The sequence below is a fragment of the Homo sapiens genome, chromosome 12, assembly GCF_000001405.40.
Source record: "Homo sapiens chromosome 12, GRCh38.p14 Primary Assembly".
Classification (NCBI taxonomy): Eukaryota; Metazoa; Chordata; class Mammalia; order Primates; family Hominidae; genus Homo; species Homo sapiens.
This window is the reverse complement of record NC_000012.12, coordinates 21,911,038-21,938,365: the sequence shown is the minus strand read 5'-3', so window position 1 is coordinate 21,938,365 and position 27,328 is coordinate 21,911,038. Positions and strand designations below refer to the sequence as shown.

At 33.6% G+C, this 27,328-nt stretch overlaps 1 protein-coding gene across 8 annotated transcripts in view; it reads left to right on the top strand.

Moving 5' to 3' along the window:
• ABCC9 (ATP binding cassette subfamily C member 9) overlaps positions 1–27,328 on the top strand; it is a 144,038-nt gene that overhangs the window by 3,061 nt on the left and 113,649 nt on the right. For 6 of the 8 annotated variants that reach the window (XM_005253288.5, XM_005253290.5, XM_005253289.5 and 3 more), the window contains 6 exons: positions 1,672–1,833; positions 4,443–4,584; positions 12,303–12,424; positions 21,263–21,429; positions 22,456–22,698; positions 25,300–25,494. In XM_005253288.5, the coding sequence (XP_005253345.1) occupies positions 1,692–1,833; positions 4,443–4,584; positions 12,303–12,424; positions 21,263–21,429; positions 22,456–22,698; positions 25,300–25,494 (1,011 nt within the window). In that variant the 5' untranslated portion in view covers positions 1,672–1,691. Of the gene's footprint in view, positions 1–288; positions 349–1,671; positions 1,834–4,442; positions 4,585–12,302; positions 12,425–21,262; positions 21,430–22,455; positions 22,699–25,299; positions 25,495–27,328 lie in introns of all 8 variants that reach the window. The other 2 variants (NM_001377273.1, NM_001377274.1) reach the window with 2 other exon arrangements.

Below are 27,328 nucleotides of genomic sequence, written 5' to 3'. Positions count from 1 at the left end.
AATTTACCCAGTGTATAACTTCACCTTGAGGTTTTAAAAATACAACTTTTTAAAAAAAGATGAGGGAAAGACTCAACTAGAGAGCATATCAACTATTTATTATAAAAAGAGCTTATCAGGAACAATATGTGAGAGGCATTCTGTATAAGTATCTAAGATTGTAAATACACAGACTCTTTAGCTGAGGCATTCATATAATGCTTTATAAAACCTTTGCTTGAAATTTGATTTCTCTAATAATTTACCTACCATTGACAATCTTTTCTGTATAACACTGTTTTTTCCTAGGAAAAGTATTGTTTGTGACCATTGCTAAATCAATTATCAATGAAAGGAAAGAAAGAAAAGGTACTATGCTAGTTAATAAAATTTTTGCCAGCCTTTTGTAATGCAACTCAGAATCCATTGTGACATAAATATAGAAACTAGGTCTAGTGAGGTTAAAATCTTAAACTGCTACTTGTTTTAAAGAATAGATACGATAGCTTCTTTAAAAAGCAGGTTGGAGGTTGTGTAATACGGTGGAAAGAAATAGTTTATAAGTCAGATATTTGGGTGTGGACATGACCGCTTTACTGGTTGGCAAGTTACTGAACTTATCTGGACCTCAGTATCCTCCATTGTAAAAGATGAATTACAAGGTTGTTCTGAGGATTTAAGATATGCAAAGTGCCCAGAACTTAAATAAGTAGTAGGCATTATAAAATAAGTTTTCAGAATGTCAAAGCTTTTCCTGGAATTTCACAGCAGTATTTTCATGGAGCAGACCTTTGCTCATCTCCCATCTGTTTGGGCACAGCATTAATAGAGAACCATTTAACATGTAAGTGAGAGCACGTCACTCCTCTGCCCCGGAATCCCCAGTGGCCCACTTCACTAAGAGTAGAAGCCGCAATCCTGACAATGACTTACAAAGCACAGTGTGACCTTGTCCTCTGTTTCCTCTCTAAACTCATCTACTTCTACTCATGGAGTACCAATTTCCAGTTAAAAGACATCCTGCGTTTCAAACTTGCGTAGAGTGTATTTCTTGTGAGAATATTCTAACTATGGAATCTGAGTAGTTTCGTTGACTTGTCATTTGAGTTAGGTTTAATTCATCTTGAGCATTTGATTTTTAATATTCTTCAGGGAAAGACTGATTACTGTTAGCCATTACTGCAGGCACACTTGTTTCTGTATATTAGTATTTCCCACAACTAGTGAAATGTTTCAGCAAACTCTGTCACAGTTTACTGAACAACTTTTGTTGTTTATTAGTACATTTTCAGTGAGTATGGGAAAATATTTGAAATTATACCATTTTGACTTTTTAGTCATTGGTTCAATTTTTTTTCTCCTTTTTCTTAATATATGACCATTTTTGTTCTTTGAAAGCATTTTAGTCAGACACTCATTTGAGGTACTACTATAGGTAGATATTAATTATAATACATTTTCCACATGAAAGCATTTTTCTCTGGAAGTAAAAGCTATGGAAAAGAAGATCTCATAGGACGTATTTTATAAGAAAGCTTCAAGTTGCTTTGGCACAGAGTTTCTTATTTCCTCAGCTATCAAAGTAAAAGGGATTAATTTTATGATATAGCCCTCTATTCAAGGCTTTAATAATTTTATGAACAAGAGTTTACTAATAAGAGGATTTTTCTTTCTCATTTCTCTCCCTTTTAGAGTAAACCATATAAGAAGAAATGAGCCTTTCATTTTGTGGTAACAACATTTCTTCATATAATATCAACGATGGTGTACTACAAAATTCCTGCTTTGTGGATGCCCTCAACCTGGTCCCTCATGTCTTTCTGTTGTTTATCACTTTTCCAATATTGTTTATTGGTAAGTAATCTAGTATCTTATGTTATACCATTTGATGTTTATATATCTCGCTAATGGCTGAGATTTGGGATAATGTTGACTTAATTTCTGTAACATGGAAGCTGATGGCTGTGAGAAACGAACAAGCAAGTATTTTGTGTTTTTCAAACATATATTTTTGACAGGTGATCTTCCGTAGGTGAAATTGAGGTCACATGCTTGCTTAGGCATGGCCTTCAGGTAGCAGCAGCAGTTTTTTAAAAAGAAGGAAAGAGAAATATATGAGATAGATCTACAGCATTAGTTGAGCACTTACTTTGGGTTAGGTAAAGGGAATGGAAAATGAATAAAAGAGTACTTGCCTTCAGGGAATAGTCCAGTGGGGCAGATGTGTTAAAGTCATGAGAAATGACTATGCCACATTGTAAGCCTATTTACAAGCACAGGAACAAATTAACCTGCTGAAACAACTCACTCTTTGGAGGTGGTGGGGAAGATAGTGAGTGACATGTCTGGGGAACTGGAAGATGCCAAGCATGCAAGTTACAGTGGGAGTGATGAGGTTGTGTTTTATGTAGAAAGAGGACATTCACAAAGAATTTGGGAAGAAGTTAACAATACAGTTTTGTCTATTATTTTACAGTTTACATATGTATAAAATCTGATAATTAGGGGCAATTATGAATAATTTGTATAACTTACCCAAACAGACCCTTTAACTTTTTTAAAATTATGAAGTATTTTGATACCTAAAATGATGGACATTAATATAATAAATATCCATTGAGCCTACCAACGCTCATCTAAAGAATATAGAAATAAGAATGAAAGGACCTCTCTCTGCACACCATTTCCTGGTCTTGTGACTCTTTCCATATCCTACGTTCCTATCTTTTCACAGGAGACAACCACTATTTTGAGTTGATTGTGTTCAATTTTTTCATGTATGGTATCTTTCCAATTAAATAAGTGAAAAAGTTTTCAGATGCATTTTCTTAAGAAAACTAGCAAAATTTAATGATCTACTTTAAGGGAATGTTTGAAAATCATTCATACACTTTTATTTATTCATTTAACAAATATCAATTGAGAGGATACTATGTGCTTGGCATTATTCTAAGGGGGATTAAAGAACTCATCATATGGTATATACACAGGCCAACATAATTCTTGGTACATAGTTATGTTGAACAAATGTACAGATGCTAAATATATTGAGACCAGAATGGCCATATGTAGAAACATCAGTCTTTGTTTATGTAGTATTATTTGTAGGCCATGAAGAACGCCCTTTGGCCAAAAGTAGAAAAATGGATTTTTTAACTGTAATTCCACAATTAATAATTCCCCAGTTATTGACATCTGGTTAACTTTTTGAGAGCAAGAACAGGGACATTCCATTTTGTATCCCTAGCATCCAGCAAAGAGGCTGGCACCAGGGTATTTGAATAGAAGAGAATTTGAGGGGACATTGTTAAAGGGAAATAGAAAAAATTCAGACTTTTCATTTATGACATTGGCTGCTTGAATTAGTGAAGGATCATAAATCAATCTTAAAAACTATCAGGTACTAGGAAAATCATAAGGTTGCAAAAAAAGACATAGAACTTGCCTATGGGAGTTTACAGCATAAGTTCTAGTAGAATATATTAAATATAACTAATCTTCCAATGATGAATAAATTGAAAACAACTAAGACATGAATATTCATTTCAAATAAAAGGGGCATCTGCTGCCTATACAGAAATTCTTTCCTGCAGTATTTCAAGCCCAAACCCCCATTTGTTCTTGAAGTAGGTGGGGCTTTTTTTCTACAGTCAAAAAATGAGAAAAAAGAACAAAACAAGACAAAAGTGGGGCCTACTAGCACACCACATATGACCTAGTATTACTCTACATGACCTAGTATTACTCTACATGACCTAGTATTACTCTACGTAGTAACTAAACTGTATAGTACTTTAGGGAGAAAACGATCAGAATTTTACTAACATACAACCTTGAATTTTTTTCTTCAGTGGCAAGCTAACGGTGGACCTATAATGGTTTTGAGCTTGCTTAAAAGCTCATCATCAAGAAATTTAGCTTTCTTTGAGAAAAGTATCAGTACTACTTGTTGAATAATAGTGCCTGCCTAGTCATACATAACAATTTTTCTCATATGATGTGCATATGATTAAGAGTTGACTCAGCTAATGAGTCCTGTATTTTGTAACCAAATATGTCTTTTCTTGATTTAGCCCCTTGTAGATTTCATGTCTTCAAAGATTTTCTACACCAAATTTCATGTATTATTATCATCAACTTATTTCCTTTTGAATTAATCAGAAAGCTGTCAGGAAGAGCTTCTGATTAGCATGAGGTAGAACCATGTTGTCATCCAGAGTTGGTATTATTCCTGAGTAATGCCACAAATGTTAATGTGTTAGCCTGAGTAGTCTTGTAAAAGTTAATTGTAATTCTTTTGAATAATGAAAATAGACTAGGATTTCCATTGCTACTCTAGAAAGTTTTAAGGTTTCAGGACCCCCCCACCCCTGCCTTAAAGCTTATCATAATTTAAATTATGTTTATTACAATTGAGCCTTCGGTTTATGTCTTTTTGTTTTTAACTTTTCTCTCTTTTCCAGGGTGGGGGAGCCAAAGCTCAAAAGTACAAATTCACCACAACACATGGCTTCATTTTCCGGGACATAACCTGAGATGGATTCTTACATTCGCTCTCCTGTTTGTGCATGTCTGTGAAATAGCAGAAGGCATTGTTTCAGACTCGTAAGTGATCTAAGTTAAATAATACCACTGCAGTATACCAGTGGGTATATTGATTACACAAGTTCACATCTTTGTAACTTGTGCCCATAAATGTGCTTTATATTTTTTGCTCTCTGATCCATGTAGCTCTTGCAGGAAGTTCTTATGTCTTTTTGAACTTTTTAATGTTAAAAATAGGTATAAATGGAAAGATTGTCTACATTTACACATAGGTCTAATAGCTATATACTTATGTTAATATATTAATTATTTCTCAGATTTTTCCATTTATTTTGTAAAGAAGCAAAGATAGATGAGTCAGGATGAATGAGTCTGAGAATCAGTGAGGATAGAGCCATAAATTGATGCAAACCACAAAACTTTTAAAATCAAGATTTGTAATAAAACCAATTTTTTAAACTTTTATTTTAAGTTCAGGGGTACAAGTGCGTGTTTATTATGCAGGTAAACTTGAGTCACGGAGGTTTGTTGTACAGATTATTTCATCACCCTGGTATTAATCCTAGTACCCATTAGTTGTTTTTCCTGATCCTCTCCCTCCTCCTACCCTCCACCCTCTGAAAAGCAAAAGCCCCAGTGTGTGTTGTTTCCCTCTGTGTGTCCATGTGTTCTCATCATTTACCAAGTGAGAACATGTGGTATTTGGTTTTCTATTCCTGTTAGTTTGCTAAGAATAATGGCCTCCAGCTCCATCCATGTCCCTGCAAAGGAAATTATCTTGTTTTTTTCTGGCTGCATAGTATTCCATAGTGTATATGTACCACATTTTCTTTATCCAGTCTATCATTGATGGACATTTAGGTTGATTCCATGTCTTTGCTATTGTGAATAGTGCTGCAATGAACATATGCATGCATGCTTGTGTCTTTATAATAGAATGATTTATATTCCCATTACCCAATAATGGGATTGCTGTGTCAAATGGTATTTCTGTTTTTTGGTCTTTGAGGAATCACCACGCTGTCTTCTACAATGGCTAAACTAATTTACACTCCAACAAATGGTGCATAAGTATTCTATTTTCTCCACAGCCTCACCAGCATCTGTTATTTTTGACTTCTTAATTGTAGCCGTTTGACTGGTATGAGATGGTATTTCATTGTGGTTTATATTTGCATTTCTCTAATGATCAAGGATGTTGAGCTTTTTTCCATACATGTGTCTGTTCATGTCCTTTGCCCACTTTTTTATGAGGTTGTTTGTTTTTTTCTTGTAAATTTGTGTAAGTTCCTTATAGATGCTGGATATTACATCTTTGTTGGATGCATAGTTTGCAAAAATTTTCTTCCATTTTGTAGGTTGTCTTTTTACTCTGTTGATAGTTTCTTTTGCTGTGCAGGAGCTCTTTAGTTTAATTAGATGCAATTTGTCAATTTTTGCTTTTGTTGCAATTGTTTTTGGCATCTTTGTCATGGAATCTTTGCTCATACCTATGTCCTGAATGGTATTGCTTAGGTTGTCTTCCAGGGTTTTATAGTTTTAAAAACCCATATTTTTAAAGGAATTTTGTTATTTTTATAAAATAAGATGTTTCATTAGACAGTTAAAATATAATGAATTATATTTATAAACTTGAACATAATCTGGTGAAAATATTTTTCTCATATAGTAACAAAATAAACTCAAGAATAGGTAAATTTTGATTATGAAATTATGCTAAATGGTGTAACTTTCATTGAGGAGCTAATATTAGAAGACCTTTAAATTTTTTGATAGGAAAGTCTAAAATTTATTTTCTTCTTATTGAACTGGAACCTCCCTGACATCTGTTTGTGTTTTCTGTTGCAATTAACAAGGAATGAAACTTCTAAGCATTTGTCATGGAACCAACTATTTTGTAATGTTTTATGAGGGCTTTTCGCAGGTATGTGCATGTCTTAATTTCTGATAAAAAGAAAAATTAGAGACTCTAATAGATGCCATCCCTCCAGACATTTAGAAGCTTAATTGGATATTATCTTGTTGGTAACTGTTTAAAATGCTGGTATATTTATTTATACTAGCATAGCCAATTCTAGGCTTAATTTTTATACAGTAGCATTTAGGCTACTGTATCTGTTTATATGCGTATGTATAAAGTAGAAGATAGATCATCCAATATTTTTTTGAAACTTGACATCATGTGGACAAGAAGACTCCTCTGGTTGATATGTAGATTCAGTCAGGTCCTCACAAAACACAGATTGAACTCACAATAATAATGATATATCCTAATGGTAGAAACTTGTTTGTAGTGGTCATGATAAAAGAGGTCCTAAAAACAGGTAAAAATACAGCCTTGATTCTGTGTTATGCTCTTCTACTCTTTAGGTATAGACTTCTCCTTACCCTTTTTATTCAGGCTTTTCGAAACATCATCTTCTAGTTACTTCTTTTTTTTTTTTAATAAAGTAAAAAGGTTTAATTGACTCATAATTCCACATGGCTGGGGAGACCTTAGGAAACTTACAATCATGGCAGAAAGGGAAGCAAACAATTCCTTCTTCATATGGTGGCAGGAGAGAGAAGTGCAGAGCAAAGGGGAAAAAGACCCTTAAAAAACCATCAGATCTCGTGAGAACTCACTGATAATGTTGAGAACAGCATGAGGGAATTGTTGCCATTATCTAATCACCTCCCATGAGGTCCCTCCCCCAACACATGGGGATTACAATTCGGATTACAATTCAAGGTGAGATTTAGGGTGGGAACACAGCCAAACCATATCATAGCTCAATTTAATTTTTAAATTTAAATGTGCTTCTATATTTTTAGCAAATAAAGCTTACATTTTCTGAACTCAGGTACTTTAAAAAATATGAACTAATTTTTCTAGAGCAGTTTTAGGTTTACAGCAAAATTGAGTAGAAAATAGAGAGATTCCCTATATACATCTTTCCCCCACATATGCCCAATCTTCCCTGCTATCAAAACCCCACAGTATATATCCCATATAATTTCATAGTAATCTGCATTTAAGGTGCCTTTAAGTTTTTTCATGGCCAAATAGATCATTTCATTTTAGTGCTGAATGATATTCTATTGTCTGTATATACCACCATTTATTTATCCATTTGCCCACTGAAGGGCATCTGGATTGCTTCTAAGTTTTGGCCATTATCAAAAAAAATGCTATAAACATTTCTGTGCACGTTTGCACATATTGTGTAGACATAAATTTTCAACTCATTTGTGCTGGAGAGTCCTATTCCACCTTTCTGCTCCACTGGCCTGTAATTCTGTGACATTATCTACGCTGAGAGGATCTTGTCTTAGTTTTACAGATGAGACCTAAGATTATCTGTGTATAACATGACCTCCCCAGGTATGCCAATCATTTAACTTCTTTCCTTCCTCCTTTCAGAGGTCTGCTTTTTTGAAAACCTCATTTGTAAAAAAAAATTTGAATTTTTATAGTGCTATATAGATCTGTTTATTGACTACTTGGGCAGTGTTACACTTTTATAATTATCCTAACTTTACAATACATATCAGAAGAATTCTATGGTCCCATATTATATAGAAATATGACATCAATAACCTGTAGAATAAAGATAATTTTCAAAACTTTCTGTCACTTATCTGGATTAAGAAAATGTGGCACATATACACCATGGAATACTATGCAGCCATAAAAAAGGATGAGTTCATGTCCTTTGTAGGGACATGGATGAAGCTGGAAACATCATTCTCAGCAAACTATTGCAAAGACAACCAAACACCGCATGTTCTCACTCATAGGTGGGACTTGAACAATGAGAACACTTGGACACAGGAAGGGGAATATCACACACTGGGGCCTGTCATGAGGTAGGGGGAGGGGGGAGGGATAGCATTAGGAGATATACCTAATGTAAATGACGAGTTAATAGGTGCAGCACACCAACATGGCACATGTATACATATGTAACAAAACTGCATGTTGTGCACATGTACCCTAGAACTTAAAGTATAATAAAAAAATATGTATATATAAAATTAATACCCAGTACAAAACCAATTGACAATATCTAAAATTTTATAATGAAGAAAGAGGAATGATAACACACTCTTCTAGTTACTTCTAAATCCAAACATTTAGTTTTGCTTTTTCTCTTGCCCCATCTTATTCTGGAAACTGCTTCCGTAAGAATCTTCATGATTATTAATGACAACTAATGGAGACTCTTTTATCTTTATCATAATTATGACTTATGACACTGCTGATCACTCCATCTTTCTTTTTTTAAATAAAACCTTTATGAATTATTTACTTAATATCTGACAAATGCTCATTACAATTAGAAAAACAGTGCAAAGTCTTTCCTAATAGAATATTTGATTTTTTTTTTAGTAATAGAAGCATTTAAAGCTAGTAATTTTTCTTTTGGAACATCCTTTGTTCTGCATTAGTTTTTGTTCTCCTTTTTATTTCTACCTGTGATTCCGGTTTACTCTCCTAGGTTTAGGAATCCTTTTTAGTTTGCTCTTTTGTTTAATTTGATTGGTTTATTATTAAAGCATGTAGTTTGTAAAATGATTACTCTTTGTGGTTTATTAGCATTTTTATTATAGTCAAATACTTCATTATTTTATAAATATTTAATTAGTATTAGAAAGTAATATATACACTTTGTAGGAGACAAAATTTTATTGCGTTTACTGATTGTATTACTGAAGTTCTATATGTTGCTTGTTTTTATACTATTTAATCTGTCAAAATTCTAAAAGCAGTGTATTAAAATCTTCACTATTACTGTGTTTTATTAGGTTTTTATTTTTATCATTTTCTGTCTTTCAAAATGATTTCTTTCACCTTTGCAATATAATACTTTAAAAATTTCTTTCCAATGTTCTGACTAAAGACTTTCTGCTGTAATGGGACATAAGCGCTCCTACCAAGCCATCGAGGTGTGCAAATCATACTCTAAAAAGAACATAGCTTAAGGGAAAAAATTAGCATTTGAAGACCATTCAAAACCTACGCAGCTTTGTAAATAGAGAACTAACAAAATAACAGCAATCCTATAAAAATACTAGCATGGTTAAAAGACATATTAAATCCCTAATAAAGGAGTGCCACCATAAGTACAAAACTTAATTGTAGCTGCTATTATCTTTACTAAATCTTTGTTATTGCTTCCTTTAATAATGGTTTGTCATTCTTTTTCTAAAATCTTAAATTGACTTTTAATTTATTTATTATAATTATTTCTTATCAAACCTGTTTAAGGTTATAAACTTTCTTGTGAGTATGGTTGTGACCACATTTTACAGGATTGGATAGGGAGTGTGCTCACTTTAAAATTTCCTAAATAATATTAGTAAGTGAATTTTGGTTTCCTTCCTTCCTTCCTTCCTTTCTTCCTCCCTCCCTTCTTTTCTTTTCTTTTTTTCTTTCTTCTTTCCTTCCTTCCTCCCTCCCTCCCTTCCTCTTTTCTTTCTCTCTTTTTCTTTTTCTTTCTTTCTTTCTCTTTTTCTTCCCTTCCTTCCTTCCTTCCTTCCTTCCCTCCCACCCTCCCTTCCTTCCTTCCTTCCTTCCTTTCCCCCTTCCATCCTCTCCCCTCCCCTCCCCTCCCCTTCCTTTCCTTTGCTTCTTTTTTTGAGACAGAGTCTTGCTCTGTTGCCCAGGCTGGAGTGCAGCCGCGTGATCTCGGTTCACTGCAATGTCTGCCTCCCAGGTCCAAGCGATCCTCCTGCCTCAGTCCCCCAAGTAGCTGGGGTCACAGGCATGTGGCACCACACATGGCTAATTTTTGTATTTTTAATAGAGATGGAGTTTCACCATGTTGCCCAGGCTGGTTTCAAACTCCCGGCCTCGAGTGATCCGCCCACCTCGGCCTTGCTAAATGCAGGGATTGCAAGCGTAAGCCACCACGTCCAGCCAGATTCTTTCTTTGATTCAATAGTCAGAGAATATTAGAAGCATTTCCTAATTTCTGTACTGACAAAATAGTTATCTATTTTTTCCTCTGATGATTTTGATCTATTTACAGGAGGTGGTAGGTGGTTTTTAAGCGCTACCATACTACTTTCACATTTTTATTACCATGTCTATATTAATGATTCCAAATTATATCACTGACCATGTTCCAAATGTCTACAGACACTTAAATTCCATTTGCATGCTTATTGGACACCTTCACAATCCATAAATGTCTGGCGAAACTTATTAGCTCCTCTTTCCAATCTGCTCATCCTCTTAAAATCTTATTTGGTCACACGGCCATCCACACAGACACCCTAGGAATTATCTTCTACTTCTCTATTGCCATCACCCTCATACCCTAATGTTAGTAAACTCCTGTCTATTTCACCAATCAGTCTTTTCCAAATGTATTATTTCCTTCATGTTACTGCTGCCAAAGCTGAAGTCAGACCTTTATCATCTGTCACCTGACTTTATACCCATAGTTTCCTAACTGCTTTTCTTCCTTCCATTTCTCTCCCTCCACTACAAACTCGTGTATTACCAACCAACTTCCTTATCCACATGACTGCTAGAGCTATCCGTTTAAAACAAATCTGATCATACCGCTTACCTATTCAAGTGTTTCAGTTTTCCACGGGTTGAGATGCCAGCCTCTTACCATGGCATACAAAGCCTTCCATGATACATTCTATCTTAAACTTTCTGTTTCAAGAATATTAAACTACTTGGAATTTTGAACATGTTGTATTGTTTCATGCTTCTATGTATTTGCACATTCTGTTCCTTTTTTAAAATGACCCTTTTCCTGACCAGTGGATTCCTTTCCATATTTCAGTTCCCATTGTCAACCATACCTCTCCTGGAATGACTTTCTCAGTGTTCTCCTATCCCCCAATCTTGAACTAGTCACTCTCTTCTCTATACCATTTATGTACTAATATCTTCAAGTAATTTGAGAAAAGCAAAATGTTTCACTCTGTGGCATTATTAATGCCAATGGAGTTGAGGGCTGTCTACTATGCACATCTGGTCTGGAATCACTGGGTCACCTGGTGATCTCTGTTGCCTTCAGAGTGAAGTCTATTCTCCTTGCAGTCATGCTGAATTGCTTGCAATACCCTTGAACACATTGGCCCCTCTGCCTGGAACTGTCTTCCTCTCTTCTTCCTCTGAGTAGCCATTCCTGATTCTTGAAGTGTCAGTTTAGAAGTCACTTCCTTCTCAAAGCTTTCTTTGTCCCAGACGTGCACTCTATGTTCTCACACTGTCCCTTCAGCTGTGTTGTAATTTCCTATTTGCTATTGGTATCCTCAATATACTAGATTTTTTTACTACAGATGTTACGTCTTGTTTTCTTCATGGTTGCATCCAAGTAGCTGGACCAGCAATCACAGATGCATTGAATGAATTAATGAGAATGGAGAAATCACTGAAGACTATCAAGTTGGGAGTGCTGTCAAAGGAACAAACACACTTTTCACACACATTGGAGTTCAGATTGAGTTAACTGTTTTCACTTGCTTTAGTTCTTAAATTATTTCAGCAGCTCTGCCCTACAGTATAGGAGTAGCTATACATTTGTTTCTTTGTAAGCATTTTAAGGTATAGTTTTGTTGTTTACTTGGCCATTCATGTTAAGATAAATCGTTTCCGCAGAACGATGTCTTTCAATATATTCTTCCCTTATGTATTATCTTGGAAACTACTATTGCATTCTGTATTTTAAACATCTTATTGCTAAGATAGAGTTCTTATGAAAAAATTTGAAAAAAAATAAGAAATTATCTGGAACCATCAGCTTTAGGCGTTGACGTACTGCTCTTTCTAGGCGGCGGGAATCAAGGCACCTCCACCTCTTTATGCCAGCCGTGATGGGATTCGTTGCCACTACAACATCGATAGTGTATTATCATAATATCGAAACATCAAATTTTCCTAAATTACTTTTAGGTAAGTATGATCACTTTTGTTGTTTCTCCTTAAAGAGATATTTGTTTTTCCCCCCAAAGGGTTATTTTTCTTTTTCCTCAGGGTAAATAGTATCAGAGTGTGTGGGGAGTAGAAAGTATGGGAAAACCAGTGATTAATTCTCCTGTAGCTGCCCAGTAAATGTGGGGTTGAAGATAAGCTGAGTTGCTCTAGGCTGTGAAAATTCCTTACCCCCAGGTCATCTCTTCTGCAATAAATGCTCTCTGTGGTGTAGGGGGGTGGGGGAAGAAAGTGGAGGAAATATGGCTGGCCTTCTGGCTTGCAGAAGTTGTATTTTAAGAATCAGAGCTCTTGTGAGGAGCTGCGGCACCATGCTGCCCTGTGAACAAGTCATCTCCTCTAGTTCCAGGTGTTTCTGTCTCTGGCTTGGAGTCCAAGGACATTTTCCCAAGGTTCAAGCCTTTCACTGATGCTGTGGGAATGCCACATTTTACTAGAATTACTATGTAGCAGAGTATGTTTCTAGCATAATGAAAAGTATGCTGTCCTGAGGAGCAGCTGCCATTACATCACGGCCTTTCGCACCTGCATTGTGACTAAAATTGTTTTATTAGCCTCTCTTGCTTCCTTGTTCTGTGGAAATCAGAGGCTCTCTAAAATATTCCTAATTTTATTTTTGCCTTGGGTCAAAATTATATAACGCATCTATATGAGTTATGTTCAATACTCTGACCCATCACTGTATTCCTTGGAGTATACTTTCTTTCTTAAAGAGATAAAGGTATGGAACAAGAATCACAGATGGGCTATGAACCTCCTGAAATTGTAGTTCGAATTATGTGTTTGTGTGAATGATGCTTACTGTTTCTGATTTTATTTGATTGTTGTATAATGAAAATGATGTTGGCTAATGATATAGAAATTAGGAGAAGAAATATTGAAAACACACACACAGTATTTTATTCATTTGTCCAGAGGACATGAAAATTTAAAATGGATGCATGAAAGATATTGATTATTTAATTATATGTTGTGTCACATTATATGATTGTTAAAGGCAATCTAATAAAAAAGGTAGAGAGGGTTAAATATTAATTTAAAAGGCTGTCACATTTTGAATTATCTTAATAGAAAGGTCTTTTGTGCAAAATGAGAGGCAGACATTATTGCAGAAAATGCCAAAAAAAGAGAAAGAAATTTCCAACAAGTAGCTGCAAAAAAATATGTGAAATTGAGAATTTAATAAGCTAAATATCTATTTTTGAAAAGTTGATGGTAAAAAGAAAGGTTATAACTAGAAAGGAATTTAGATATTAATAATGTTTTGATGGAAATGCAATCAGAAGAGGCCTATTATTGTTATTTAGGTGCAAGACAGCACAATTTGATCATATTGCTGGAAGGACATGGAGATAAAATATAATATTTCTTGTTATTTTAACAGAGAAAAATTTGGACCTAGGAAAGTTACTCATTTTAAGACCACAAAGATAGTAATTTTGTCTCAACATTTCATTATGAAAATCACCAAATGTACAGAAAGTTGAAAGAATCATGTGAATTCCCACTTACCCAACATCTGAATTCTTCAAATTACATTTTTTCTGTTTGTTTTATCACATATCTACATCTTTTCATCCTTCTATTCATACCTCTCTCCATCTTAGTTTTGATGCATTTTAAGGTAAGTTGTAGACATTAGTATACTTTACCTCTGAACGCTTCATGCGTATCTTTTTGTGAGACAAAATTTATATACATGAAACACAGCGATCTTAATTTGCTAAATGCATGTACCTATATAACACTATCATGACATAACTATCATCCATGCAAATTTTCTTATACTCAATTTCACCTTTACAGAAGCAATATCTGTTCTGATTTTTACCCCCACCATGGATTAGGTTTGCCTGTTCTAGAACTTCATGTAAATTGAATGACACAGTATAGACTTTTAAGTAAGGCTTCTTTTTCTAAGCATGATTTTTTGATGCTCATCCGTAATGTAGCATAGATCAATATTTTCTTATTGTTGCATTTCATTGTATAACTATATCATAGTTTTTTCAATCCCTTGTTAATAGACATCTGTACTATTTCCAGGTTTTAGCCATCATGAGAGTAAAAGCTGCTATCAACATTCTTAAGTATTTTGTGGCTATATGCATTTATTTCTCCTAGGTAAATACCTAAGAGTGAAATCTCTGGGTCATACAATAAGTGGGTAAATGTTCATATTTTAAGAAACTGACATCTTTTCCCAAAATGTTTGTATCATTTTTTATACTCACTAACAAGGTGTAAGAGTTCCAGTTCCACATGTTCATCATTTGGTGATCTTGGTCTAATTTAGTCATGCTAGTGGGTGTGTACTGGTAATACATTGCGGTTTTAATTTGCATTTATCTGATTGCTAATTATGTTGAACACTCTTTGATGAGTTTATTGGCCATTTTTAATCTTTGGGATGTGGCTATTCATATCTTTTGCCCATGTTTCATTGGGTTGCACTTTTATTATTGCGTTGTAGGAATATTTTGTGCATACTAGATATTAGTATGTCATCAGTTACATGTTTTGATAATGTTTTCCTTCTAGTCTGTGGCATACATATTCATTTATTTAATAGGGTCTTTTAATGAGCAGAAGATTTTAAATTTCGATGTAGTATAATTTATCATTTCTTCTAGTCCTTAGTTACTGCTTTCTGTGTCTTAAGACATCTTTGTCTTCCCTCTAAATATGTTTCCCTCTTATTCTCCTGTTTGCTTTTAGATGCTTTATGGTTTCCATTTTTATTTTTAGGACTACGATTCTTTCTAAATTAATTGTGTATATGGTGTAAGATAGGTGTCAAAGTTCTTTTTTTTTTTTTTCCAAGTGGATATCAATGTGTTCCAGCACCATTTGTGGGATAGACTTTCTGTTTCTCAAGAGATTGCATTGGCACTTATGTAAAAAAAAATAAATCAAATGACTATTTAAATTTAATCTATTTTGGCTCTATTTTCTGTTTCTTTGATGTATTCATAGATTTTTATGCGACTAACATTTTCTCTTGCTTTGGAGTTCTTGAAGTCATAAATTATAAGTCACACAACATTTTCTTTGTTTTCCTCCGAAGTTTGCTTTGGCTATTCTAGTTCTTTTGAGTTTCTATATACAGTTTAGAATCAGGTTTACAATTTCTCCAAAAAAAAAAAAAAAAGAAAAAAAAAAAGCTTGGTAGGACCATTATGGGGATTGCATTGAATTTATAAAACAATTCAGGAGATAATTGGCATCTTCACACTATTGGGTTTCACAATCCAGTCTTCATTTATTTAGGTCTTTTGTTTCCCCTTGCAGTGTTTTGTAGCTTTCAGTGTAGAGGTCTTTCATGTCTTGTTAACTTTACTTCAAGTATTTTTCTTTGCTTTCCTTTTATTGTATGTGAAATTTATTTCATATTTCATTTTCAATTGTTTCTTCCATTATGTGAAATGCAATTAAGTATTGATGCAAAAATTCTCAACAAAATACCAGCAAATCAAATTCAACAACACATTAAAAAGATCATTCATCATGATCAAGTGGGATTTATCCCTAGAATGCAAGCATGGTTCAACATTTGCAAATCAATAAATATTATTTGCAAATCAATAAATATTATAAAATACCTAGGAATTAACCAAAGAAGTGAAAGATCTCTGTAACAAAAACTATCAAACACTGGTGCATGAAATTGAAGAAGATACAAATAAATGGAAAGATATTCCATATTCATGGACTGGAAAAATAAGCATTGTTAAAATGCCCTTACTACTCAAAGCAATCTACAGATTTAATGCAATCCCTATCAAAATACCAATGACATTTTTCACAGAAATAGAAAAAACAATTCTAAAATTTATAGGCAGCCATAAAAGACCTAGAATAGTCAAAGCTATCCTAAGCAAATAGTACAAAACCAGAGGAATCACATTACCTGATTTCATACTACAAAGCTGTAGTAATCAAAATGGCATGGTACTGGCATAAAAACAGACACATAGATAAGTGGAACAGAATATAGAATCCAGAGATAAATCCATACATCTATAGTGAAGTTATCTTTTAAAAAGGGCCAAGAACATACACTGAGGAAAGGACAGTCACTTCAATAAATGGTTCTGGGAAAACTGGATATCCATATGCAGAAGAACAAAACTAGACCCTTGTCTCTCACCATGTACAAAAACAAAATCAAAATGGATTAAAGACTTAAATCTAAAATCTTAAACTGTGAAACTACTACACGAAAATATTGGGAAACTCTCTAGGACATTGGACTGGGCAAAGATTTCTTGAGCAACACCCCTCAAGCACAGGCAACCAGAGCAATAATGAACAAATGGGATCACATCAAGTTAAAAAGCTTCTGCACAGCAGAGGAAAAAGTCAACAAAGTGAAGACACAATCTACAGAATGGGAGAAAATATTTGCAAACTGCCTGTCTGACAAGGGATTAATGAGCAGAATATATAAGGAGCTCAAACAACTCTATAGGAAAAAAATAACTAATAATCCAATAAAAAAGGGGCAAAAGATCTGAATAGACATTTGTCAAAAGAAGACACACGAATGGCAAACGTGTATTAAAAGGTGCTCAATATCACTGATCATCGGAGAAATGCTTATCAAAACTACAATGAGATATCATCTCACTCCAGTTAAAATGGCTTGTATACAAAAGTCAGGCAATAAGTAATGCTGGCAAGAATGAGGAGAAAAGGAAACCCTTGTACACTATTGGTGGAAATGTAAATTAGTACAACCACTATGAAGAACAGTTTGTAGGTTCCTTAAAAAACAAAAAGTTGAGCTACCATACAATTCAGCAACCCCACTCCTAGGTCTATACCCAAAAGAAAGGAAATCAGTATATCGAACAGACATCTGCACTCCCATGTTTATTGCAACACTGTTCACAATAGCTAAGATTTTGAAGCAACCTAAGTGTCCATAAACAGATGAATGGATAAAGAAACTGTGATACATGTACCACAATGGAGTCCTATTTAGCCATAAAATAAGAATAAGATCCTGTCATTTGCAACCACATGGATGGAACTTGAGGTCATTGTTTAAGTGAAATAAGACAGGCACAGAAAGACAGACATCTCATATTCTCGCTTATTTGTGGGAGCAAAAAAATAAAAACAATTGAACTCATGGAGATAGAGAGTAGAATGATGGATACCAGAGGCTGGGAAGGGTCGTGGGGTGCTGGGAGAGGCAAATGGGGATGTTTAATGGGTACAAAAATTAGGAAAAATGAATAAGACCTAGTATTTGATAGCACAACAGGATGGCTACAGTCAATAATAATTTAATTGTACATTTAAAAAAGAATTAAAGAGTACAATTGGATTATTTTTAACAGAAAGGATAAATGCTTGAGGTGATCAATGCCATATTTACTCTGATGTGATTATTACTCATTGCATACCTGTATCAAATCATTTCATGTAACCCATAAATATATACCTACAAATAAAAAATAAAATAAAATAAAATGATTTTGTATGTTGACTTTGTATCTTGCAGCCTTAGAAATTCACTTATTACTTTTAGTTATTGCTTTGTAGGTTTCCTAAGATTTTCTGTATAAGCAAACATGCCATCTGCAAAGAGAGACACTTATTTTCTTTCAACCTTCTTTATGCCTTCTTTTTTCTTTTTCTTTTTGCTTGTCTTATTGCTGTAGCTAAGATGTCCAGTAAAATGCCAAATAGACATAAGACTGAAATCCTCTCTGGTTCCTGATTTTAGGGGAAAATGGTCAGTCTTTCATAATTAATTGTAATGTTAGTTATAGGTTTTTCATAGCAGACCTTTATTTGCCTAGTAAGTTTTCTTTTATTTAAAGCTTACTCAGGGTGTTATTAAAGTCTTGAATGGGTGTTGAATTTTATTAAAGTTTTTTTCCTGTATCCATTAGGAAAATTGTATTTCTGTTAGTATGCTAAATTGCATTGATCTGTTTTTCAAATAAAGTAACAATGCATTTCTGAGAAGAACCACACATAGTCATAATATATTATGCATGCTTGATATCACTAGATTTCATTTGTTAAGGCTTTTTACATCTATGTAATGAAGGATATTCATCAGTTATTTTCTTGTAATTCCTTTCTTCAGGCTTATACAGGCTGCATTAAACTGGCTTCATAAATGAGTTGGAAAGTGTTTTCTCTCTATTTTTCTGAAAGACTTTGTATAAGGTTAATTTTATCTCTTTCTTAAATGTTGAATAGAAATCACTAGTAAAGTCATCTGGACCTGGAATTTGGGCTAAGGGAGGATTTAAAATTATAAATTTATTTCTGTATTAGACAGAGTGTTATGTCTAATACTTTTTTATATCTAGTAAAATTTTAGGTCTAAATTTTATTATAATTTAGTAAATATATTGTCTAATTTCCTTAGTGACTATATAGAATTTTCAGAGTATCTACTTCTTTTTATGTTAGTTTTGATAAGGTACATTTTTAAGTAATTTTCCATTTCATGTAAATTTTTGGATATATTGTCATAATGTTATTCATGATATTTCCTGATTCTCCTTTTAAAGTATGTAGGGTATGCAGGGATAGTGCCTCTTTCATTCCTAGTATTGGTTTTTGTGTTCTTCTTTTCTTGAACTGTCTAGCTAGGGACTTATCAATTTTATTAGTCTTTTCAAAGAATGGCATTATCAATTTTGTCCATTTTATCAATTGTTCATTTTTCTATTTTATTGCTTTCTACTCATCTCTATTGTTTTCATCTTTTTTGGGGGATCCTTTTTTATTCTTTCCTGAGCTTTAAAGGTAGCTATGCAGTTTTGAACCTTATACTGTAAAATAAATATCTAAAGCTGTAAATTTTCCTCTGAGTCTTATTTTAGTTGTACTTCTTGAATTTTAAATATGTAGTATTTTTATTATAGTTAATGTATTTTAATATTATCTGACCTCTTTAGTGATTTCTTCTTTAACATGTGGATTATTAGTAATGTGTTGTTTAATTTCCAAATATTTTGAAGCTTTTAGATATCTTACTGCATGAAAAGATCAAAGGTTACCTCCTTATCTCTGTGTCTGATGTTCCTGCCCTTTATGACTCTCTTGCCTTGAGTGTGAGTAGGACCTGTGCCTGGGTTCTAGCCACTAGACTGTGGCATGGAGGAAGGTCTCCAATCAGTAGAGTCTTTATTGAGCCAGCAGACCCAGTCAATACCTAGAACCTGGTGAGAACCTGGAGCAGAGAACCCAGCCTCGTGAGAACCTGGAATAGAGAACCCAATTGACCCTGGCTCAAAGTCCTGAATCCTAGAAACCATGAGTTAATAAATGTGTGCAGTTTTAAGCTGCTCAGTTTGTTATAGTTTGTTAAGTAGCGATAGAAAATCAATAGTCTGACTGTTCTTGATTTTTTAAATTTAACTTTATTGTGGTCAGAAAACGTACTCTATATGATTTCTGTTATTTCAAATTCATTTCTCTTTGTTTTCTGGCTAAACATATAATCTATACCAGTACCATATTCAGTTAATACGAAGGTACAATCTGAAGATGTTAGAAGTATTTTTAGAGTACCAAATCTCAAATAGTTTTATAAATATCAAATAGTATGAGGTATTTGATAGTGTTCTAATACATCTTCTAAATCTTCATTGGTCATATGTCTATTTTTTAATGTATCTTTCTAAAAACTGGACACTTTTATTATTATTAAAAGTCTTTTTTATTTCTGATAATAATTGTCTTGAAGTCGGCTTTGTTTGACATTAATATAGCAACTCCAAATTTCTTACGCTTAATTGTTTTCATTGTATATCTTTCCCATCTACTTACTTTTAAGCTACTCTAATACTTAAGGTGAATCTCTTTAGATAGCATATAATTTGGTCTGTTTTTTTTTTTAATGAATCCATTCTGACTCTACATTTAAGCTAAAACAAGATACACATTGAGTTCATATGCCAATGATCAGTATTTTTCACTAATGAAGTGATCACTCAACTTTTCTGGTTCTGATAAATGTTGTCCAAGCTGGATTGTCTTATGTGTGTCTTAGATTTCTTCTTTCTTAGACCATATTCATTTGTACTTACATTTATTCAAAGTTCAAAGTAGATTGTATCCTTGCCAAAATATTTCTAGGAAAGTCTCTGCTTCTATCTCATATTGGCTGCAAAATGCTGATTGTAGTTTTGCGGCAGTGTAATCCTTGCCTTTCTGGTCCTAGTACTTGACGTTTCAGTTCGCTCTATAAGACCATTGTTCTTTGTGCTATGTGAAAGTGCGTGGTGTTTTAAACCATTTGACTAAGGAAAGTCACTTACTACTTGAATAAGAATCTGTAAGGCAGAAACTCAATTACATAGATACATGAATTCCATGATAATTCCAGGGTAATACCATGAGACATATCCTTGGGTTTGCAACACACCTATGAAGTAGGTTATACAGACACCAACTTGTGAATTATTCATATAATTAAGGCTCTTTGAAAACAGGACCAGAAGATAAAGCTACTTTTTAAAATTTATAGACTTACACGTACATTTTGAAGAGTCTAGTTTATCCTATTATATATCTCTTTACATCCTCCCATCTATCATGTACGGTCAGGATGGACGCACTCAACATTTTCAAGTTATTACTCCTTCAACTCAAAACTCCAGAAGTACACTAAATCATATATGTTGTTTTCTTACCAAGTAAAACCATGTGGAAATATAGTACATAAAATTGCCTTTGTTATTAAAAAGCATCATAATTACATTCAAATGCTAGTGATGTTTAAGAAAAGATTGCATCTTTCTCTTTTTGTCTTTTTCTTTTCAGCCCTGTTCCTGTATTGGGTAATGGCCTTTATTACAAAAACAATAAAATTGGTTAAGTACTGTCAGTCTGGCTTGGACATATCAAACCTGCGTTTCTGCATCACAGGCATGATGGTCATCTTGAATGGGCTCTTGATGGCTGTGGAGATCAATGTCATTCGAGTCAGGGTAGGTAGCTAATGGCTTTTGTTTAGTTACTTGGATTCAAGACCCCAATATGAAAGATTACAGTTAGCTAGAAATCATTAGTATTGACAAGGATGAACACATGTATTTGATTTATATATATAAATATAAAGTTGAACTAATCACTAAATTCAGGCCATTAATGTTTCAGAAATCTCAGTGTGACCCTAGAAACTATTTATTCATTCACAAATATTGATTGATCAAATGCTTGCTATGTGTCAGATATTATGCTCAGTTTATATTACAGAAGAAATTGTTTTTAGGAGAAAGTTCAATCATCCATGATTGGTCTCAAAGCACACCTGGGTTAAGCAAAATACTGCATTCTCAGAAATTTAAAACTGAAAAGAAAATAATCTAATCCAGTTTGCTCATTTTGCTGATGAAGAAACATGTAGAGATAGCTTTGGCTATATATCCAAAGTAATATGGTCAAGACACACACCTGGTTTGTAATTGCATATTGATTGTACTTTCCACCACTTAATACTGTCAGTTATGTTGTGTGAGATACTAGAGATAGATTTTCCAGTATTCATTTTTTATCAGAGAACTTTGAACTTGATCTGTGAGTAGAAAGATATATGCTGCAATGCATGTGGAGAGTAGTCAGTTAACATCAGGAAACCATAGATCAAGAGACTCAATAATGGTGTTGATAATACATTTTAAAATCTAAACAAAGTAAAAACCTTCATTTGGTTGACCCTATCATAGGATATCATGAAACACTGACTCTTAGTAAAAACTATCTTTTAAAAGGTTAAGTGATCTTTTAGAATTGACCCCAAGAGGATTACATGCAAAATTCTGGCATTAACTAGTTCATCTAGTCACAACAGAAGGAAATATCTCAAAGAATATTTCAGAAAGGGATGGAAGGAGGCATTAAAATATAAATTTTGGTCACCTGAAATGAAAATGTAGAAAAGGTTGAAATTTTATTTTTAATATGTGGAAAATAATTGGACTAATTGTTATACTGTGGAATTTTTCTTGCCACAGAGATATGTATTTTTCATGAATCCTCAGAAAGTAAAGCCTCCTGAAGACCTCCAGGATCTGGGAGTGAGATTTCTTCAACCATTTGTGAATTTGCTGTCAAAAGCAACATACTGGTGGATGAACACACTTATTATATCTGCTCACAAAAAGCCTATTGATCTGAAGGCAATTGGAAAATTGCCAATAGCAATGAGAGCAGTAACAAATTATGTTTGCCTGAAAGATGCATATGAAGAACAAAAGGTGATTTAGCGTCTGTCTTCCATGTGCTTAATTACAGAGAATGGTCCTGTTGGCATGAACCTGGGAGGCAGAGCTTGCAGTGAGCCAGGATTGGGCCACTGCACTCCAGCCGGGGTGACAGAGTGAGACTCTGTCTCAAAAAAAAAAAAAAAATATATATATATATACACACACACACACACACACACATATATACACACACATATACACACATATATACATATATACACATATATACACACATATATACACGTGTCTATATACACATACATATATACACATGTCTATATATACACACATATATACACATTATATATACATACACATGTCTATATATACACACATATATACACATTATATATATATACACATGTATATATACACACATATATATACACATTATATACACACACACACACACACACACACACACACACACACATATATATATAAAGACACAAAGCTTAGGCCAGGCACGATGGCTCATGCCTATAATCCCAGCACTTTGGGAGGCCGAGGCAGATGGATCACCTGAGGTCAGGAGTTTGAGACCAGCCTGACCAACATGGAGAAACCCCATCTTTACTAAAAATACAAAAATTAGCCGGGCATGGTGACGCATGCCTGTAATCCCAGCTACTTGGGAGGCTGAGGCAGGAGAATTGCTTGAAACCGGGAGGCGAAAGTTGTGGTGAGCCGAGATTGCACCATTGCACTCCAGCCTGGGCAACAAGAGTGAAACTCTGCCTCAAAAAAAAAAAAAAAAAGGACACAAAGCTTAAATCATATCTATGGTTGAGGAAGAGCAGATTTCCTTTATCTGTCTTCCTCTGTACTTTTGAATCATGTAAATTGGGCCTGGAAGACTGGAAGAGCCAATGAAGTATACTTATATTAGTTGCTCCATTAATACATGAGGAAGGATAGAGTGAGTACTGTCTTTTCTCTGGGACATGTCACCAAGTGGAAAGTAAGAATTAAGTTCAATGATCATGTATAACTAATCCATTACCACGTAATATTAATAACTCATGAAATTTTTGTTATTGTCTTTTCACAAGCATAATATGTTTGTTATATAAAGAGGTAAAATAGATACCAACTAATAATCACTTTGGAGAAATTAAAAACCTTACATTAATTAGTGACTAAAATTTAGCTTCTATAGTTCAAAATGAGAGACTAAATTAAATAAAAGGGCATTGTCTTCCTCTTCCATGTATCATCCTATATGGCTGTCAAAATTGGCTTCCTCTGGCACTTTTCCTAAGTATTCATTATTGTTTTAAAAAATTTAAAGATGAGAGTCTTTGGATATTTTCATTTTGTCTTTTATCATTCTAAATAGTCATGCATGCTACCCACAGTGGTAGATGTGTTTTCTATTGCCATCATCTACAAATATCATTGCCATTTAAAATATTAGGATTCTCAACAACACTGGAAGGAAATAGAGTATGGTAAAACAGCTAATGAGTTTTTGGCTGTTCTAAATGAAGATCAATGAAACATTTATGGTAAATGATGAAAATAATCTCTGTTTTGTGTCAGAAATATGTGTTATGAAATTAAATGGCAGGAAAAGGTTACAACAAATGAATCTGAGTCATTTCTCTGGTTTCACCTCTGGGAAAAGTATTGCATAAAATTTTTAAAACTGCTAAAGTAAAGATGTTTGCAGTCTAGCCTAAGCATAGTTTAATTTTTCTGAGTTCTCTTTACAACAGAGATTAGCTTGAACTTGGTGTGTTAACGTCTACATAAACTTTGGAAAACAAATTATTTATTTAGTTTAACAGGGGGTTGCATAGGGAACATAATTGAGCTCTATTCTAGTGAGTTGACTTCCTTGTCACAATGAAAAAACTTTATCTACCTCCTCCCTAAATTTTAATTATGATGATTGCTCAGGTCTTAAAATTTTATTTACAACAAACAACTATAGCTGTGTGAAGCCATGAGTTGACTTAAGTATAAATGCTGTTCTTCATTTTGCATTTCTTTGAGGAATACCTAGGAAACACAAGTCTACCATAATTTTTTAAAGTATTGACTACCATTCAGGGAGATAAGAAATACCATGGAGGAGAAACAACTTGAAGTTGGGATAATCTGTTTTGTTTAGCTGGTAATTATTGGATAGGCAAACCTGTGGTGATGTAGTAACTCCAAAAGTCTTGACCAGTCTGCCTATAACCTTGATGTTTGTGCTTTACTCTTTTGCTTGCTATGCAATGCTATTTGGCAATTTGCATGACAAATATATATTTTCCCAATCAAAGAAAACTGAAAATGAATTAGGCTTTAAGAATCCTGTGTCATCCTTTGATAAGTAAAATAATACAGAGTCTTAGAAAAACTGTCTTGTTTACTTCTCATTCTCTCTATTTTATTAAAATGCATTCAGTAGCTACTATTTTCGTAGAAGGCAAGGATACAGAATTATGCATGCTATGCTGAAAGGCACACATTAACATCAATTTTTAAACCCTTAAAGTATTTTTGAAGTATAAGAAGGAATTTCCATACATGAGATTAGTTACTGCTCTAAGCAGTTTTATTTTGTTACATCTGTTTTTTTTTTCTTTTTTTTTTCTTCAGAAAAAAGTTGCAGATCATCCAAATCGGACTCCATCTATATGGCTTGCAATGTACAGAGCTTTTGGGCGACCAATTCTACTTAGTAGCACATTCCGCTATCTGGCTGATTTACTGGGTTTTGCTGGACCTCTTTGTATTTCTGGAATAGTTCAGCGTGTGAATGAAACCCAGAATGGGACAAATAACACAACTGGAGTAAGTTCCTGGTGATTTTCAATGGAAACATATTATTGATGGATTTCATTGTAATTGTCACTTTTTATTAATGCAGTTTTATGAGTTGTTCAAATAGGCTTTTTTTCAGAGAATTGAATGCTTTCTAAAAGAAAGAAAACAGTAATTTTCCTTTTAGAAAAAAATCACGTGTTTATGTATTTATTCATTGAATGAATCTGGCCACCAAAATTATTTCTCAGATTCAGAGCCTATAAACATTTAACAAGCATTTACGGTATGCCAGAAACTTTGTGTAGAAATTGTGCATTGATTGTTTTATTTAATCTTTATAGGAACTCTTTAAAGAATTTTTATACATGATGGGTGGCTGAGTCACTTCTTTAGAGGTCTGTGACCAATAATACTAGCAATGTGATTTGTAATATTGTACATTTCTCTTTTCTTATATAATAAAAACCCACCACCCTGTTTCACAATGTTCAGGGCAAGTCACATTATGATATTTTATTAGACATTATGTTATTATATTGGGGCTATATAGTTAAAATACTGCGTGTTTATGATCATAAATATATAATTTTTATTTTCTACTTTTAATAAAGACTGCATTGTGAACTTCCTACTTTCTTTCTAAGTATTGATTTTTGTAGTTCTACATATAGAAACTATCGCCAGATTAATCCATTTTCCTTTTCTGTTCTCTCAATCTGATTTCCTGTCCTCTTTCCATCACGTATAAAAATGTTATGCAATATGAGAACTGACCTTAAATGTTGCCTCTTCGGTGAAGCTTTTTCTGATCATCCTAGTTGGAATCTGACTCTCCTTGATAGTCCCTTAACACACTCTTTACTTTATGTTGGCACTTACTGAAGCCTGTTACTTAGAGATATGTTTATCTTCCTAGGTTGTAAGCTTATGAAACAATTACGGTGAGCCATTCATATTTGTGTTCACAATGCTTAGCCCAGATCCTTGCATACATTAGTGTTCATGAACCAGATATTTTCACCACTGAATACACTTTGGTGATGTTTTGTCCCTACTAGCCTAATTACATACGGATATCTAAATTCCACAGAGTTTATCCATCATCCTTCTCCCTTGCATATATTAACCACGTTTTGCTAAGAAAGAATAGGACTTGCACATTTGTATATATTCCCACAAAAAAGGAGGAAGGGACCAGAAGTAGAATTCTACTAGGTCTAAATCATAGAAAATAGTGTCCAAACTGATGTAATGTACTTAGTCAAATGTTATCTTTCCTTCTTTTCTAACAAACAAGTTACCATATGCTATTGTTACAAACAAAAATCAATTTTGGATATCCTTATGCTGAATTCAGTCGTATTCCTACTAAAACAAAATTTTGTAAGTTATGTTTTGTTACTGGTAGTGTTGCATGGGTGATATAGCCAAATTACCTACTTTATAATTTATTATTTATCTTATTAGCATAAATTAAGATATCTGAGAATCAGAAAAAGGCAACTGAGTGGAATTATTTTAAACTAATAAGGCTACCAAAATTGTATATGTCTTCCATTGGTCTTGCTGGCCAACTATCAATTTTATAGCTTCTACTTCCAAATTAGAGTGTAAACTAACTTGTCTTTTTATTTGCTGCTTACCATTTTACTAAGGTTGGATATACCTTTGCAGGAAATGCATTCTAATTTTTTAAAAATAAATTCTACCTTTTTTTTCTTCAATTAGGCATTTCCATCACTCATTAATCAATTAGGGATTTTATGGATTTACCTGGTTTGTATTGTATTTCACTGCTGTATAATAAATACATTGAATTTTTGTATTTAAATATTATGTATCTTTTAATAAATGCAAACTG